General features: G+C 37.2%; 1 annotated feature.

Annotated features, from left to right (window-relative positions):
• Nucleotides 719–1,220: an enhancer, noted in NCBI's record as "H3K27ac hESC enhancer chr11:28787885-28788386 (GRCh37/hg19 assembly coordinates)". NCBI's record gives its function as "activates a minimal SCP1, AML or CMV promoter by ChIP-STARR-seq in naive H9 embryonic stem cells {active_cell/tissue: H9 hESC(naive)}" and the evidence as "EXISTENCE:reporter gene assay evidence [ECO:0000049][PMID:30033119]".

Raw genomic sequence — 19,750 nt, 5'->3', positions numbered from 1 at the left:
ATTATCTGCATTAGGAGGCACCCCGGCCCAGTAATGCTGTGGCTCTTGGTAGACTTCTAGATGTACTACCTTTGTACTCTTGGATAAGATACAGAGAATTCCCTGGATTACCAGGCAGAGACTCTTGTTATCTTATTTTCTCCCAAAATAATAGAGTCTCTCTGTCTGTGCTAAGCTGTTTGGAGCTGAGGGAAGGGTGACATAAGCACCCCTGTGGCCACTACCACTAGGACTGCTCTACATCAGACCAAAATCAAGCACAGCACTAGGTCTTGCCCAAGGCCCATAGTAACCACTCCCTGGTTACTGCCTTTGTTTGCTCAAGGTCCTTGGGCTCCACAAACAGCAGGTGCTTAGCTAGCCAGAGTTGTGTCCTTCCCTTCAGTGTGGCAAGTTTCGCTAGCCCCAGCTGGGTCCAGAGATGCCATCCATTTGGGAGACAGAGCCTGGAGTTGGAAACCTTAGCAATCTATCTGGTGCTCTATTTTACTGTGGCTGAGCTGGAACCCAAGCCACAAGACAAAATGGTTCCCAATTTTCTCTTTTATTTCCACAGGCAGAGGAGTCTTTCCCCATGGCCACCACCACCACAGGTCCATGGGGAATACTGCCTGGCTACCACCAATGTCCACTCAAGACCCAAGGACTCTTCAGACAGCTTGCAGTGATTACCGACAGGCCTAGGACTCTTTCTTAAAAGCACTGGGCTCCCCTCTGGGCCAGGGCAGGTCCAGAAACATCCTCCAAGTGCCAAGACCTGGAATAGGGCACCCCAGGAACCTACTTAGTGTTCTACCCCACTGTGGCCAAGCTAGTACCTGAGCTGTAAGGCAAAGTCCTCTCTATTTTTTTCTCTCTCTGTCTCAAGCATAAGGAGTCTCTCATCATGGCCATCACAGCTGGGAATGTGCTGGGTCATATCTGAGCCAGCATGACTCTAAGTCTCACTCACAGCCTGTGGCAAGTACTGCCTGGGTACTTCTGATGGTTTTTCAAGGCCTAAGGGTTCTACAGCCAGCAGGGAATGAGTTCTTCCAGGACTGGGTCCTTGTTTTCAAGACAGCAGTTTCCCTTCTAGCCCAGAGTTTGTCTAGAAATATAACCCAGCAGCTAGGGCCTGGAATGAGTGTCTCAGGAGTACGCCTAGTGTCCTATCCTGCTGTGGCTGAGCTGGTATGCAAATTCCAAGATGAAGTCCTCTTTACTGTCCCCTCTCCTCTTCTTAAGAGGAAGGAAGGCAGGTAGAGCTGTGAAGTACCTCCCAGAACTGTGAGGTACACTGCCTGGGGTTGGGAGAGAGGTGCCACAAGTATTTCCTTGGTCACCCTAGCTGGTGTTTCACTAGGTCACATGCCACCCATGTCCACTGGCTCTAGGTCCAGCATAGCACTAGGACTTACCTAGGAATTGTAGTCCTTCTGGTCTAACCTGCCTTTTAAGTTTATTTAGGACCCCAGAGCACTTTAGCCTGCAGAGACTAGACTTGTCAGAACTTAGGTTCCAACCCCTGGAAATGGCAATTTTCCTCTGGTTGTTCTAAATGCTCCCTCCTTGGGTGCCAGGTGAGTTCTTCCCCATGCTGCTTTCTGTTGTGACAAGGCAGCACTGAGTTTCAATACAAAGTGTTACAATCACTGAGCTCTCCCTCTCCCAAATGCACAGAATCTCTCTCTGCACCACATGGTGCTGCTAGGGGATGGGGGAAGGGTGGTGTCAATTCAAGACTGTCTTTCCTACTCTCTTCAGTGCATCATTTAGTTATATAAAGTTAAAACCAGGTACTGATTGCTCATCTGATTTTGGATTCTTATGAAGGTACTTTTTTGTGTGGATGGTTGTTCAGTTTGGTGTTCCTGTGGAAGGACAATCAGTGGAAGCTTCTATTTGACCATCTTGCTCTGCCCCCAGAATTTACCTTAATGCTTCACTCATGAATGCCTAGGCTTTCTCCAGCATTCACTTCAAAATTATTTCAGCCTCTACCCACTACCCAGTTCCAAAGCTACATTTGCATTTCTAGCTATTTGTAACATCCCTATTTCTCTACTACCATTTTTCTGCCTTAATCCATTTTTTGCTTCTCTACCAGAATACCACAGACAAGGTAATTTATAATGAGCAGAAGTTTGTTTCTAACAGTTCTCACAGGCTAGGAAGTCCCACATCAACGTGCCAGCATCTGGTGAAGGCCTTCTGCTGTCTTATAACATGGAGGAAATAATTACATTGTAGAAGGGCAAAGAGGGCAACAGAGAAATCAAGAGGTGCAAACCCACTCCTGCATTGATGACATTAGTTTATTCCTAAGAGTGGAGCCCTCATGACCTAAGCACCTCTTAAAAGTTCTACCTCAATACTTTCACAGTGGCAATTAAATTTCAAATTTTGGAGGGGCCAAACATTTAAACCACAGCAGGTGGCTATACCTGTGTAAGATAAAATAGACTTTCAGTCAAAAACTCACAAGGAAGATTATATGATAAAGGCTTCAATACATCAATAGGATATAGTAATGATAAATATATTTGCACTCAACATCAGTGTACCTAAATATATAAAGCAAATATTAACATAAAAGGGAGAAACAGACAGCAATATAACAGGTTTCTTCAATAACCCAGTTTTAATTACAGAGAGATCATCCATATGAAAATCAATAAAGACACACTGGATTTGAACTATACTTCAGACAAAATGGACCTAACAGACACGTGCAGAGCATACCATCTAAGAGCAGAACAAACTTTCTCAAGTGCACACAGAACATTCTCTAGAATATATCATATGATAATCCACAAAACCAGTCTTAATAAATTTTAGAAGACTGAAGTCATCTCAAGTATCTTTTCCAACCACATTGGTATGCTCATTGGTATTGGTATACCAGATATTATCAGGAGAAAAACTGGAAAATTTACAAATATGTGAAAAATAAACTATGGAACAATCAATGGATCAAAGAAGAAATAAAATATAAAACCAATTCCTTTTTGGCATTGTTATAATTGCAGGAGCTAATGAAATAGAATGATTGCCTATAGGACAGTTGGTTGGGGAGAAGGTGATTCTGCACTTTGGCTCTGTCTGCAAGATCCTTCCAGGGCAGCTCATATTCTCATAATTCCCATATAAGCACTGGAGAGGCTTAATGATGATAAAAGACTGATTTGGGTTGTATGCAGTTAAGGATACCTATAAGCAAACATCCCACTGGGAGGTTACAAATCATGTTGAAAGCCAAGTTTGTCCCCATTGACTTCTGAAAAAAAAATTAGGGACAAGGAAAATTGATTCTGTCCTACTACATCAGGCACAGTCAAGATTCTTGCTTGATTTTTTAACAAGGTTTTCCTAGATATTGAAAAGAAAGCACACAGTGCTAAAACCCGGGTTTTAAGTCTCTTTTCAGCAACAGGCAGAAACAGTTATTTTTTTCACAGATCCTATCATCTTATTACAATCAGCTGTGGTCCATTTCATTCCAATCTCAGATGTCTCATTCTTTTTTGCCTGTTGTCCCTCTGACAAAGCAAAAGGGATTCCAAGTTACTAATTACAAGTTACAATTTGCATTATCCACTGTTAACAGAATATCTTTCACCTGGTGCTGTTTTCTATTGTTACAGCCAGTCCCAACTGGAAAGGAGTTTGGAAAATATATTTCTGTGAGATACCTCTGCTTCCTGCTGCCCCTATTTCAGAAGTCAATGGATTTTACAAGACCTTGTTCAAAGTTAACCAGTGGATGTTCCAATACATGCTCAGTATACTCATTGTGGAGGAAACAATTTGGAGGAAAAAAAGTGTGAAGAGAACTTGAATTATCCAGAATAAATGCATTCACAAACCCTACTGACTTATAAAGAAAACATTGCATATTATATGTCACTTCCAAAAGATGTTGGACCAAAAGTTATGAAACTTTTTTGTGTGAGTCTTGTTATTGATCAATTGAATTTTTCAAGCAAAAAGAATTCTTACCAGTAATTCCTCAAAACCAACTGCCATAGGCACTACTGTGACCTTACTCTCACTTTTGCAGGGAACACTGGTTCTACATTGAGTCTGGGTATTTTAACTTTAAAGAATGCAGCATCAATATTACTATATGTCTAGTCATAAAACTAGCACTTTCTGTCAACTTCTCCATAGTTCCTAATATGTAATAATTGGCATCATAATCCCAGACTTAAGATTTCAGAACTGCATAAGCAGCATATTTGCACGCCCCAAAGGATGATCACATTACTGAAACATGATAAAACCAAAAGCATTTTTGTAAATGCAAATATAATATATAATTTAGGCACTATCTCTCCAACCATAGATTACTATGCTTTGTTTTGTCATTTTTCCCAAACATGTCTTTAGCCAATGTTCCACCAGAAAACCATTTCTAAAGCACAAAGAGAAACAGAGAAGTATGACATATATAGTTTGTGTGTGTGTGTGTGTGTGTGTGTGTGTGTGTGTGTGTATAAACTAAGTAGCTAACTTTTAAAAGGGATCAATTTAAACAGTTACAACATAAAAATTCTGGAAAGAACTCTGCATGTGAGGACAACAATTTCCAGGGAAAAAAGACTAATGTATTAGAAATAGCCTGAGGACAGAGGAGAGATGGCATTAATCAACCGGACCTGGGACACAGGATAAGATACAGCTTGGAATGTTAGGATCTATGCAAAATATCTCAAACAAATGACTTTATAAACTCTATAAATAAGTTTAGCTTCCTCTGAGAAAGGTATTGGGTAGCTTAAGTATTATGGAGGCTCTTTTCCTCTCTTTGAGACAATCTTCGTCTTTTGCCTTTTTTACTCTTCAATGCCACACTAAATTCATGTGGCAAATTAACCCTGAAAAAGCTGAGAAATTACTTTTCTGCAATCATTTGGAATAACTGAAGTTATGAAGCTTTCACTGCATAAAGTGCTTTGGCCTGTATCATTGCTTGTCCTGAAAAAGAACTCCAATATATAGTGTGTTTGTTTAAAATAATAATGCCATAAACTGAAATAATGAAAACCCAAAAGTCCAGTTTTATTTTAAATAAAAAATATGGAAAAGGCATCACTAGTTTTTTCCAGTACATCTAAGGATGCATTCTATTGATTGCCAATCAGTGGGAAGACCCAAAAAGTTTCTAAAGATTATCTCTGTACCATGCCTATGAGGGTAAGCAAACCCATCCTGCTTGAATAATATGGAGACAAAAAGGAACAACTGGAGCTATAAAATTTACCTCCAGACTTAGTGTCTTAAAACAACAAAGATTTATTATTTCTTATTCTTTTGAGAGTTAATTGTGCAGTTCATAGTGAGCCAGCTAAGATGGGCCTGAATGATGTTGGAAGGCCTCACTAACATGGCTAGTGATGGACTGGATGCTAGCTAGAGTGAGAGAGAAAATCTTGCCATGTGTCTTTCATTATCCAGAAGGCTAGCTCAGCCCAATCCACATGGTGGTGGTCTCAGTGTTTCCAAGAACAGCAAGAAGAAAAGCCCCATAATGCAAACACGTTTTAAGGGTCTGCTTGCATCACGTTTGCTAACAATCCTTTGACCAAACTAAGACAGATGGCCAACCCATATCCAAGGAGTAGAGAAATAAACCCCATATCTACCTTTAAAGGAGAAACTGCAAAGATGAATTGTTAACGGGCATGCATACATGAATGAGAAGAATTCGTGGTCCTTTTTGTACTCTACTGCAAGTATCACAGAGGTAGGATGGCCTTTGAAACTAAGTTTGTTCCAGGTCCTCTACGGAAAGCTAGTGTCCAAAAATTGTCTAAATGAAAATTTTTTTGTGATTTGTTGATGCCAGAATTTCCCTTGAAACAGATATATATTTCCCTAGCATGGTTCAAGGCTATACTACAGGTTTTTCCCATTCCAAAACCTTGATGTGTGGATAAACACAAACACAGCCCACCTGGAAGAAAGTGGAATCTACTGGGTAGAGAAAAGACGCTGCTTGCCATTGGAGGCTAGTAATTCCTGGGTATCATTATTCTGTCTGTTGTCACTTGTCCTAAGTTGCAAATCAATACAGTCTGAGTAGCTCAAGAGGTTAAAAAAAATCTAAATACAAAATATTTCATGTTGTGATTTTCTTCTAATTCTGTCTTGAAGCCTCTTTCTATCCCTGCTCTGTTAGAACTCCAGCAAAGGTGGTCTTGGATGTTTACGGTATGCTTTCACGGGATGATTCTTTATCCAGGCAGACAGCCTAATGGTTAAGTGCCCACCCCATGACCAGGTGTGCCTCTCACAGAAAACTTGTTTATACTGGCAGATGTTCTGTGGCTCTTTTCTGGCCTGTATCCAGTTTATTTCTACCAAGATAGCCACTTTGTAGGAGAGCCCTGACCAAAAGGAGTGTTACGTTTGAGCATGTTGGTCAGGTGAGACACAGAGGAGGCAGAACAACAAAACACATGACATAACAGAAGCATTTGATTACTTACAAATCCACAAGAAAAAAGGATGTTCACAACAGCCAACAGGAAGCGCAGAGATAGCAAGCGTTCTCAACCAGCAGGAGAGAAGTAGGAGAGAGAGGACTAGGCTTTTATTAAGCTTCATGAGCATTATCTGTTTTGCTTTTCCTCAGGGGTTTTGAATTGACTGGTTTAAAGGAAACACATGCGAAGGGGGAAAGTTACTTATATGAGTCAGGTGTTAACCATTAGGTTTATTGTGGTCAGCGGCTTTGGGATTTGTTGGGTTTTGGGTCAGTGAAATGAACAGAGGGCTATATTGCAAAGAACCACACAGAGAGGAAAAGTTTTAACTAGGCCAAAGGTGATGGAGTATAATTGAATTTCAAATACCTATGTCTGGCATAAAAATGGATCCCGAGGCAGCAACTGTATTAAACAAATTGATGTAACTCATTACTCGAATTAGTAAATAAAAAAGGTAATAAATATATGTATCTGAACAAAATAGCTGAACCTGTAATTAAGTTTAATAACATATACTAGTAAATTCTAGGGTAGATTTTTGAGCCATTTTAGATCTTGCATTCTACAAACTTTAAAAGACTACTTAAATAGTGATTCTTCTACCATTAACAAAATAATTCATGGTGAATGGCAATTTGTTTACAGTAATAATATATTTATTTACCATCAGCAATATAATATATAGTTTTAAACCTCAGACCAATGTCCTATCTTTCTTTTGTTCAAAGAATCATCTTTATGGTCTTAAGGCAGAGGATAAACAGCACATTCCATAATGGAGTAAAGTTTTCCTTCAACATCTCAACATTCATAATGAAAGCTAGTCAAGTTTGAAAATATTTTCTTTCACTTCAATCAGACATTACTGGATTAGCTACTTTATGAGTCTATTCCTGCCTGGTCTAGGTTCTTTCTAATTTTCTAAAATAATTTAACTAACAATACTTCTTAGTCCTGGAACTTCAAAGAACATTGACACTCTAAAGAAATGTAATTAACCTCTAGTTCAGAGATGTTTGTGGGATTTTATCTTATTTATCAGCTCTAATAATTTGGTAGTTGCTGCCAGAGTACTATATTGAGAATGATTCTGAGGTTATATCTGGTCTCAGGATGGAAGAATACAATGATCAATTAGTAATGTCTGGCATAGGAAAAAGAGGGATGGCAATGTAATTGCCACTTACTTCCCATCCCTACCATAAGTCAAATTTGTCATTTTAGACTGAGAAAAAAAAAAAAAACAAACAAAAACAGGCTTATCCAAGGTCTCACAGCTATTGAATGATAATGTTTAGTCTAAAAACCCACCATGACTTCGAAACAATATTTTTTGGGGAATAGACATTTGTCACTTTCCAACTTACCATCATCCACTTCCCAATATTTTTATTAGTCCTTTACTGTGTGCCAATGTGGTTGGAAGATGATTTCTAGTTCTTGATTCCTTTTGCTATTCCTTTCTCAACCACAGCAGCTGGGACCTTCCTCTACCTGGCTATACCACAGAACAGGCCAATAAGCTAGGCTTTGCTGATAAGGTGTTTGTTCTGGAACTCTGAATCTTAAGTAATGCAAAGAATGAGGAAATGGGGGAGGGAGGGTTGTTAGATGATCCCATAGCCAGAGTTCATGGATCAGAAAGTTGTTGCAGCATGATTTTGACTACATTTCCTGCTATCTTGATTTACAACTCTTGGTTTTCTAAACCTTAGACTACCAAGTTAATTGTCACTTCTGGGAAACTGATGTCTTTCCAATGCATCTCCTTTTTCTTAAGGCCAGAGATAGGTTCTGTTGCTTCAAACCAGAGATCTTGACTGATAATTTGTTTAGCTCCACAGTCATGAGCAAATGTTAGTGATGCAATGTTTTTCTCAGCCAAATTATACACTTATATTTTCAACCCACAAAAACTGAGTAAAACATTTTTCATTGAAAAATATAAAAGATTCTCCTGTGCCGAAATCATCAATGTTTGACATCAGAAAGTAGTAGGCTGAAGGGTATAAAATGATAAATACCAGTCATCATTTTGTCATTTGATAAAAACATCTACAGTCATGTTATTTCAGACAGTAGACCAGCACAATTATACCATGATATTGGGCCTCTTTTTTTTTTTTTTTTTTTTTTTTTGAGATGTAGTTTCGCTCATGTTGCCCAGGCTGGAGTGCAATGGTGCGATCTTGGCTCACTGCAACCTTGGCTCACCACAATCTCTGCCTCCTGGGTTCAAGTGATTCTCCTGCCTTAGCCTCCCGAGTAGCTGGGATTACAGGCATATGCCATCACGCCTGGCTAATTTTGTATTTTTAGTAGAGACAGGGTTTCTCCATGTTGGTCAGGCTGGTCTTGAACTCCCAAGCTCAGGTGATCTGCCCACTTCGGCCTCCCAAAGTGCTGGGATTACAGGCGTGAGCCACCGTGCCCAGCTGATATTGGTCCTCTTAACATATTTCAAATGTCATCAACATTATCTTATTCTTTCAATGGCAATCATGAAAAAGCAAAAATTAAATAGCTGAAATTACACAAAGACTTGGCTTTATGGATTAAATAAGAACTGACTGGGGAAAATTCCCTCACTTTCTCTGCTCTGTGTTCAGAATATATAATATCTGCTGACGCTAGGTAGTAAAAATATATATATATTTCTAAGATTAAAGTCTGGTTTACAGACATTTTGTTCACATAAGCTGTAACAAACTAGTAAAAAGTCTTACTACAAAAGTCTCCAGTAAAATACATTGGCAAATCTACTCCTAAGCCGTGGTTTACTTATCTGCTGTCAAGAAGAAAAGGTAAGTAGATATGCTGTATGAGAACCTTATAATGTATTTCCATCATACTGATATCACTTTGAGGCTATTCCATAGGGTATATATCACTCTTCTTGACTATTTACATTAAGACTCCATTTAACATTTTTTTCTTTTAGCCTTTCTGTCTTCATTAATGAAAAACGCTACATTAAGAAATTTCTGCTTGCTTTTCCTTCTTGTTTCATATAGAGACCCATGTGTAATCTGCAAAGTAGTCTGAAAAGAATGGCACAAGCAGTCAAAATATTTACATATTTCTCTGTAAAATATTTCATATAAAGATTTAACAGGCGTAAGTAAGCTATGACAAGCATGCTCACTTATCTGAAGAAAAATACTTTGAGCTGATTTTCTGGCACTGAAAGGAAAGCTGGCTAAGTGACATCTTCCTTTATGGAATGCAATGATTAAACCAATGAGTTGTGCTTTACCTTCTCCAGGAAGGTCAGTATGATATGGAGCTGCTTTCAGTGATGCCCAACATATTGCACTTGAACTTACAGAACCTGTCACTAATATCGGTAAGTAAAAGCAAGGCTTAATGTTGAGGTTAAAACAAAAATGAAAGGAATAGAGACCAAAAACAAAATAAAACTGTATGAGAATGTAAATATTATATGAATAATTTCATACAAAAACTGGGAAAACAGTGAGTGCTCCAATATTAAGAACTATCTCAGGTTTAAAGATGAGAAATGGAGTATCTCAAAACCAGGTTTTATCTATAGACTAAATACATTTTTCTCTCCTCCTAAATTGTAAGAAGAAAATAACTGGAGAATATTGCTGTGATCTCTTACAAGTTCTTTCTTCCAGCTTTGGAAGAAAGAGAAAAATAAACAGAAAATTCATTTATCTCGAAAGATAAGTATCCAAGTTCAGAAATCCCTGTTTGCTTCACAGAGGAACAAGCTCTAATCTCACAAGCTATGGAGAAGTCCCATAGATTCTCCTATATTGAAGTCATCAACATCTCACATCAGAGAGTAGTAGGTTGAAGAGTGTAAAATTATGAACACTGGCACATCGGGAAGACCACATTCCAGCCCAAATTTCTCACCCATCACAATGACCTGAACTTAACCTCTACTACTTGCCACTTTTCCTTACTTGGCAATTGAAGAAAATTCCTTTCCCTTGACATAATTACAGAAATGGAATGAGTAAGAAGTTTATAGCCTATGAATAGTATTGGTCCTACTTTGGACAAGAGGGATAACTTGGAATAAGGTTGGATCCTTACTGTGTAGCAAAAAGGCTGGCTACCACAAACTCCCCAAAAAGATTACCATAATATTGTACAGTGCCTATTGGTGAGAGGCCTCCTTGTTAGCAGCTCTGAGCATAACATTCACTCTAACCTATCTTAAATTGCACAGTTTGTAAATGCATAGGCAATAAGTCTTGTCTAACAGGATTTCAATAGCCTTGCAAATTCTACCTTTGGAAAATATTCAAACCAATAATTGTCATTCATATTCTTTACCACCTTCTACTCATCTGCACAGAACAAGAAGCCAAGCTGGGCCTCTTAGAAGACTCGGTTCTGGTTGTTCAGCTTCTGTGATTTGATTCCCTACCAGTGACAGACAGGATGGGCAAGTGAGGCAGGGCTTCCATCCTAACTTAAAGGCTCAGCATTTAAAGGGTGACAATCTGCTCATTCCAATATGTCTCTCAAAGGAGTTAGTAGTAGTTGTCAATGTTTGTTTTCAGTATGATGTTTTTCAAGGCACTTTTAAAACCAGATGGAATTGGCACCAACTTTAAAAAATTCAAATGGGGTTTTCCCTGAATTTAGAAATATCTGGTAATTTTTTTATTTTTATTTATTTATTTATTTATTTTTTGAGACAGAGTCTCTCTCTGTCATCCAGGCTGGAGTGCAATGGTGCGATCTCAGCTCACTGCAACCTCCGCCTCTTGGGTTCAAGTGATTCTCCTGCCTCAGCCTCCTGAGTAGCTGGGACTACAGGCACGTGCCACCACACCCCGGCTAATTTGTTTGTGTGTTTTCAGTAGAGATGGGGTTTCACCATGTTAGCCTGACGGTCTCAATCTCCTGACCTCATGATCCACCCGGCTCGGCCTCCCAAAGTGCTGGGATTACAGGCGTGAGCCACGGCGCTCAGCCTAAAATGTTATTTTTTAAAATAAAATAGGAAGTTAAAAAGCACTGTGTACTCTTACATTCTGCCCCAGAAATAATGGGATGGATGAATAATGGGTTGGATGAAGATTGGGCTGAAAAGAGATTTCACCTTTGGGAGGCATCTCAATACTTCATTTGAACAAGGTAAAATATTTTTCATGAAAATAACCTATGTATCAACCTGAAAGCCGGTATGTATATGGAATCAATTTAAAAGATGGAGTATAGAGTTTGAAGTCAGGATGGTCAGGGGGCTAATCGCAACTTAAACAAGTGACAGCTGTATTAATTATCTGAGCCTCTTTCTTATCAATCAGCGGGACTAGTAATAGTATATGCTGCATGAGTTGTTTGTAGATATTAAATGTGATGTCAAATATAAAGTGCCTACTTGATATTTTTGATAAGGCACTTAAAAATACATGTTTTATTTTATAGCTTAATGACAGCTAAAGAGGCAAATAAATATTGTATATGAGTCTTTGCCACAGCTGCATACCTACCTTTCAATTCCCTGAATCCTTAGGCTTCATTCACTTTATCTCACCTGGATTACTGTCCTCCTGGTGGTAGGATCATTTATTCTTTTGTCATTTACTGACAGTCCTCTGTGTACCAGGCACTGTGCTATGGTCTCAGAGGGCAAAAAGTGCCATACATTCTGTACTCTCTGTCTTCAAGGAGCTACGCTTCAGGTGGTGGTGAGGTAAGCAGTGGCTTCTGATAGCTTTTACAATACATACAATGATGTGTCATGATAGAGGTGTGTAGAAGCTGCTAAACTGCCTTCTTTGGGGCTGGGGGAGATAGTCAACTTCATGATGAAAACTTCTGCTGAGCTGAATGTGATTTCAGAATTAATAGCACAAAGGACAGCAATATTCAAAGACAGAGACTCCTGCAAGAACAAGGTGTTCAGTTTGGTTGGAATGCAAGAAAGGTTTCATAAAGTAGTAGTAAGTGAATGGGGAGGGGTGTCATCTTCTGAAATTACTAACTTACAAAGATAGAATAAACTTGACTGACTGAAATAAAAGCAATCATATCAGCAGTCATTGCATATTATTTGTTATGTGTCAGGACACTTTTCCATATTAACTCATTCAATGCTTAGAAACACCCTATGATGTAAATATCATGACTGTATTATCATCATTTCACACATTAAAAAAAAAAAAAACCTGAGGTACATAAAGGTTTAGCTGTTTGCCCAAGGATATCCCACTAGTAAGTAGCAGAGCTGAGATTCAAACTGAGTCAGTCTAGGTCCTGAGCTGGAGTCTCATCACAACCATATTCTGCCTCTTTTGTTTTTGCATTATTAGTTACAGAAGCTTGTATCCCAAAAGATAAATGATGAGAGCCCATGGCATATGACTGGCCTCCAGCTACAGTGGCCTTATCAGCATTACACTGACAGACTGCCACTGGAGATCTTTCTATGAGCACCGCAGATGCATACACTTACAAAATGGGAAACATTCTTACCTCAAAAGGCTCTGAGGACCCAAAGTCATACATAAGCCTTTAGCCTGAGACATGCTAAAGATTAGTTGTAAATTTCTTTCCTTTCCTTTATTCTCTCTTCCTTTTTTACTTCTTTTTTCTTTCTTCTTTTCCTTCCTTCCTTCCCTTCTTCCCTCTGTTCCTCCCTCCCTCCCTGTCTCCCTATCTTCCGTCTTTCCTTCTTCTTATTCCGTCTTCTGAATTACTACCTAGTAACTCTTCTACTTCCCTGAATGACCTTTTGTGATTGTACCCCATAATAAAGCTTTAGTGACAAGAGACAGCTAGAAAAAATCCACTAATGCTGATAATTGTTGGTGATCATTCACAGGATTACTAGATGAGTTAGGAAAAGTTACTAGATGAGTTAGGAAAAGTTGTTAGATGAGTTAAGACCCAATCTCAGAATCATGGTCAACATTGAGCTATATCCATTTATAGTTTCCACTATTAAAAAATCTCCTTTGGGAGGCCAAGGCAGGCAGATCACGAGGTCAGGAGATCGAGACCATCCTGGCTAACACAGTGAAACCCCATCTCTACCAAAAATACAAAAAATTAGCCAGGCGTGGTGGTGGGCACCTGTAGTCCCAGCTACTGGGGAGGCTGAGGCAGGCAAATGGCGTGAACCTGGGAGACAGAGCTTGCAGTGAGCCGAGATCGCGCCACTGCACTCCAGCCTGGGCGACAAAGCAAGACTCCATCTCAAAAAACAAACAAACAAACAAACAAAACTCAGGCTGTCAAGGTATCAGTTATTTGTAATATAATATCCCCATACTACCACTCAAGGCAACTGTTGGGTAACTAATGTAATAAAATTATTATTCAAGAAAGACTTTCAACAGTGTTATCATTGTAAAATATCAGGATTGAAAGTCATCAAGAAAGAAATGCATTTCCAAAACTTGGCTTGAATTTCCTCTAGAATAGACCAACTAAGTAGCAGGTCTGAGATAGAAAAACCAACCAAACAAAAAAAAAATCAGTCTTAGAGGTCCTCTCTTTATCTTAAATTTACATATACAGTTTAAGCAGGGATGGTGAAATGGCAGGGGGCTTGGGGGGAGCACTCTTTATGCTATGCCATTCTCCTAATTTCATACATATTTATTTATTAAAATTATACATATATATTATATCTGCATTTTCATTTATACACATGCTAGCAAGAATTTTCAAAAATTCTTTATAAATTTGAAACCATCTCGTTTCCAACAGAAGTCCAATTTACCTATTTTTCGACATCCTGTTCATTTGCTACTTGTCTTATGAATGAAAGTATGAAGCAAATAGTAATGTATTCATGTGCCATCTCCTCAAGTGTATAAAGGTTAAGGAAAATTGATTACAAACAAATGATATCTATGACAAAAGCAGAGGAGTAAGGTAACCAGCCCCCCAAATTAATCAGCATATAAATTAATCTTGCTTCCAAACAAAAAGTAGGACAGGAAGCATTGTCATCAATAATCTACTATGCCAAGACATTCTCCAGGATGAATACTAATGAATATAAACAAATAGTAGCTGGAAGAGAAATATAAATTCTTAAAACATTAAGAGGAAAAAGTATGAAAATTTTCTAATCTGTAAACCACACATATTTTATGTATCCTACTATCAACAACAGTGCTAGCTCAGTAATTGATTACCATTTACAGAGCACCTACTGGGTGTCCCACACTATGCAAAGACCTTTCCATATGTTACCTTTAGTTTTCACATTCACCTTTTACGATTTTCACAACTGGGCCTCAGAGAGTTTATGTGACTTACTTACCAAGCTGTAACAATATACCTAAATCTCTCCATTTTCAAAAGCTAGATGCTTTCCACAATCTAGAGAAAGACTGAAAATACTTTTTCAAAAGCAAATAATTTTAATGATATACTCTGTGTTTCTACAGTTCTGATGTGCATTGACTAATTGCTACTTTTGGTTTATTTTAGAAGTTATACAGTTTTTATAGAAAGTATTACATTTTCTTTTGACTACTTAATTTTTGATCTGTTCTAGAAATGACCTTCCATAAAGATCTGGATGAATGAAGGACAGAGATGATCTGAGGTAAAGACTGTTTCTGAGGATAAACTTTCCTAAGGGAGGAAGATTCTTTGATGATGATTTTGCCCTATCTTACTTCACAGTGTTTGCCACAGTCCTCTAGTTTTTCCTCTCTAATTGCCCCTCAATTCTCTTCTCTATCAAGGACAGAAACATATAGAAATCCTATATTTTCAAACCCAACCAACCTACATGATTATGAAGTGTTCTGAGGAGAAAAAGAGCCATGCATGGCTAATAATTCTTAAATAGACTGTTATGCATTAAGGATGAGTAGAAAATTAGCAAAGATTTTAAATGTTGACAATAAAATTGCATATGCTGTGACAGATGAAAGAAAATAAATAAATATTTGTGTGACTGTGAATAAGGGTTTCCTCTCAATTAGTTAAGTCACACTTTGCAAAAAATCAGGTTGCAAGTCTTTTTCTTTTTTTCTGTTTTTGTTTTTTGTTTTTTGTTTTTTGTTTTGAGACGGAGTCTCACTCAGTTGCCCAGGCTGGAGTGCAATGGCACGATCTCTGCTCACTGCAAGCTCCACCTCCCGGGTTCACGCTGTTCGCCTGCCTCAGCTTCCCGAATAGCTGGGACTACAGGCGCCCGCCACCACGCCCGACTAATTTTTTGTATTTTTAGTAGAGACGGGATTTCACCGTGTTAGCCAGGATGGCCTCAATCTCCTGACCTCATGATCCGCCTGCCTCGGCCTCCCAAAGCGCTGGGATTACAGGCGTGAGCCACTGCGCCCTGCTGCAAGTCTTTTTAAAATATCCTTGAATAATACCTGAAAACACTGTGTTTAGTAGCTAAAAACAAATAACCTACATTTCCAACATGACACATTATCTATCCATGTAATACTATACTGCGCAGCCACCGGTGTGTGACTGCTATAGAACAATGTCAAGAAAGAAATCTCCATGGGCCGGGCGCAGTGGTTCACGCCTGTAATCCCAGCACTTTGGGAGACCGATGTGGGCAGATCACTTGAGGTCAGGAGCTGGAGACCAGCCTGGCCAAAATGGTGAAAGCCTGCCTCTACTAAAAATACAAAAATTAGCCAGGCATGGTGGCAGATGCCTGTAATCCCAGCTACTTGGGAAGCAGAGACAGGAGAATCTCTTGAACCTGGGGCAGAGGTGGCAGTGAGCCAATATGGTGCCACTGCACTCCAGCCTGGACTACAGAGTGAGACACTGTCTCAAAAAAAAAAAGATATCTCCATTACATTGTTAATTGAAAAAAAAGTGATTATAATATTATGAACCCATTCAAAATAGTGTATTAAAAAACATACATTTTTCCATAAGGAGAACATTATTTTTATAAATTTTGGATGGACGTATTGTCTCGACAGTTTTTTTTAAGTTAGAATGTATTAAATTTACATGGTTAAGGGGAAAAATTAACATATAATTATAATAAAATATACCCAAGACATTCTATAAAATTCAGTAGCCATTCTTAATACAAACTCTATTCTAAGACATGAAAACTAATTATCAAATGTGATGGAAAATGTTTCTGTTGTAAAACAGGCAATGAACATTATATTAACTACTGAAATACCAAGACCATTCTCATTAAAATGAGACAAAATACTGAAATGACTACCATCCCTACAATTTTTCAGCATTGTGTTGTAGTTTCTAGCCAATACAATAAGAAAACCAACTAGCTATATAATTATGGGAAACAAGAAAACAAGTTTATCTCTATTTGCATACAATTTAACAGTCCAGATAAACTCTATAAAATATATAATAAATAAGAGAAAATCCTGATAAGGTTAACTAGATTTTTAAAAACTATTTATATACTTTTTCTTTATTCTAGCAACCCATTGAAATGTATGTATCTCAAATATAAAATATGTATAGGTTTATGTAATACTAATACCCTGCTGACAATAGTGATAAAATTATTATGTATCTTGTAATAAAATGTTTAAAAGTTATTACATATTTTAAATCAACATAACCTGAATAAAAAGCTAAATGGTATCTTACAGTATTATTGAGTCATAAGACAATGTCATATAAATACATTCCTCAAATTAATACATATATTTAATGAGATTCCACTCAGAATTCAAAGATTTTAAATTAAACTAGGGAGTTTTATTTTTTAAATTTATGTATAAAACACAAATATAAAAAACCTTCTAAAAGATTTTTCAAAAAAGAGATGAGGATAAATGTCCTGCAACATATAAAACATACTATGCTGCTTATTAAAATCAATATAGTAAGTGAAGACCAAATACAAAGCAAAAGTGCAGAAGATAAGTTGAAAAATAAACACACAAATCCAAGTATTTGTGGAAAAATCATAGTTTATTTAATCAAAGATCTTAGCATAAGCAGCTATAGATCTTAGAATGAAAGAATTAAATCCCTGCTTTGCAGTATAAAATATTAAATTCCAGAAGGATTAAAATAAAAAATGTAAAAACCAAAATATAATAAAAATAGGAAAATGTTTGTATAACATAGGGCAAGGAGACATTTATCAAACAATAAATCCAGATGCCATGAAAGTGTTGATAGATTTGACTGTATATGAATTAACATTTTGAATAAAAAGGAAGACCATTAAAGCGATAGTCAAATAAAAATTTGACTATTAAAAATTGTTTGAAAATGCCTTAAAGCTCCTTAGTTCACGAAGAGTCTCTATAAATCAATGTAAACAAGACAAACAATATTATTTAATGTGACAATAATATAAACAAAATAATCACAGAAAAAGGAAGAAATATGGCCAAAAACTTCAGAAAGATCCACAACTCAAGAATAAACCAAAAATACAATCAAATCAACATTGAGAATCCATTATTAACCCACTGCATTCTATTGAAATTTCAATACGTTGATCACACTCTGTTCTGGAGAGGATGTGGGAAAGCATTAATTATATATTGTTGGAGGAAAAAAAAGCATTGTGTGTAATGTAACATAGCAGTAGCTAATAACCTTTAAAACACATGCACTTTGACTCAGAATTTCTATTTTAGCAAAGCTATGCTACAGATAAAAGCATATGATCATTATAACAATCACGTCATTGTGACATGTGATCATTGTAAGATATATTAGTTTTCACAATGATTATATGTAATTTTTATAAAAGCAGTAAAGTTTTAATAAAGAAAAAAGATAAAGATCTTGCTCAGGAGATTGATGTTGAAGTTTAAGGCTGCCAAAGGAGCTAGCATTTGAAGGGAAAACATCTGGAGAGTAGAAAAGATCAAAGAATAAATTCAAAAATCTACATTCAAATTTCCACTTCACAACTGCTGACTTCTAACTTAACTGCTCAGAACTGTTTCTCAAACTGCATATATATGCTGTATTCTTCTAGGTTATTTGGTGTAGTGAGAGAAAGAAGAAAATAGCAGTTGAGAGGCCTGAGAATGAATATTAGCAGCCACATGACACTGGGGAGACAAAAGTTAAAGTTTAATTCTTGTCAAAAGTGGGAGACATTTGCAAATGTCTTGGTATTTCTCAGCCACGACCTCAGAAGGGGTCATTCTAGAATTAATGTGACACTTAGTGCCATACTTTAGAAGTAAGGACTATACCCTAGATGTAAGGGCAAAACTTAAGCATTTTAAAGATGTTTAAAACCCTTGCAAATAAAGCCTAAAACCAAGCCTCAATAGGACAATGATGATCTGCTAGTAATCTATCTACTTGATAGAAGAAAACTTAACCCTCTTTGGACAAATTTCCGTCATCAAGAGCCCCTGCAATGTTTCATCTATCAAGGCAAAAATTATGAGGCAAATAAAAAATAGGATTAAATCATTGAAAAATCAAAGTAAAAAATAGACAATATAAATAGACCTCCAGACGATTCAGATATCAAAAATACCCAACAATGACTTTCAAACAACTATGATCAATACATTCAAGAAAATAAAAGTTGGGCAAAGTAGAAGAAAAAGGTAAGAATTTCAACAAAGAATTATAATATTTAAAAAGTAACCAAACTGGGCATCCTAAAACTGAAAAATAGAAATAAGAGTTTAAAGATCTTGACTGCCAAAGTTCAAAATTCATTTATTAAATCCACAAATAATTATTGAGCAACTATTGCCAGACAGTGTTCTAGAAGTAGAGGATAAAGCAATGAACAAAACAAAATTCCTGCCCTTATGGCTCTTGTGATCTAATGAGAGAAACAGAAAATAAACCATACAAGTAAGTAAATTCTATATTAGAAGGTGATAACCAAGGGTGATATGAGAAAGAAAGAAAAGACTGAAAATGTTAATTGGATGAAATAAATAATAGAACAAGAAATAAAATTTGAAGAAGAGCCTTCCTAAAAGACGCAATAACAAATTTGAAGGCCTCAAGAGGGTGGTGATTTACCAGCTAAAGGAAAACTGAGGAGTTTAATGTCATCTTAATAGTAGGAGATAAAATTATTAACTACCAGAAGGGTTTGGGATTTTACTGTGAATGAGATGAGAAGGTTTTAGAAGGTTCTTAGTGGAAAAGTGACATGATCTAACATACATTTTAACATTTTACATCTGAGATTATAAGAGCTAAGAGCAAAAGTAGGTAGAACACTCTAGAGACTACTGCAACCATCTAAGCAAGAGATGATGTTGACTGAACCAAGATGGTAGCAGTGAAGAAAGTAAGAAATGTTTATATTCTGGATAAATAGCCAACAGGGGATATAAGAGATAAAGGGGGCATATGGGTGA

This window comes from Homo sapiens, chromosome 11, assembly GCF_000001405.40.
Source record: "Homo sapiens chromosome 11, GRCh38.p14 Primary Assembly".
Classification (NCBI taxonomy): domain Eukaryota; kingdom Metazoa; phylum Chordata; class Mammalia; order Primates; family Hominidae; genus Homo; species Homo sapiens.
This window is presented reverse-complemented; position numbering and strand designations above follow the sequence as displayed.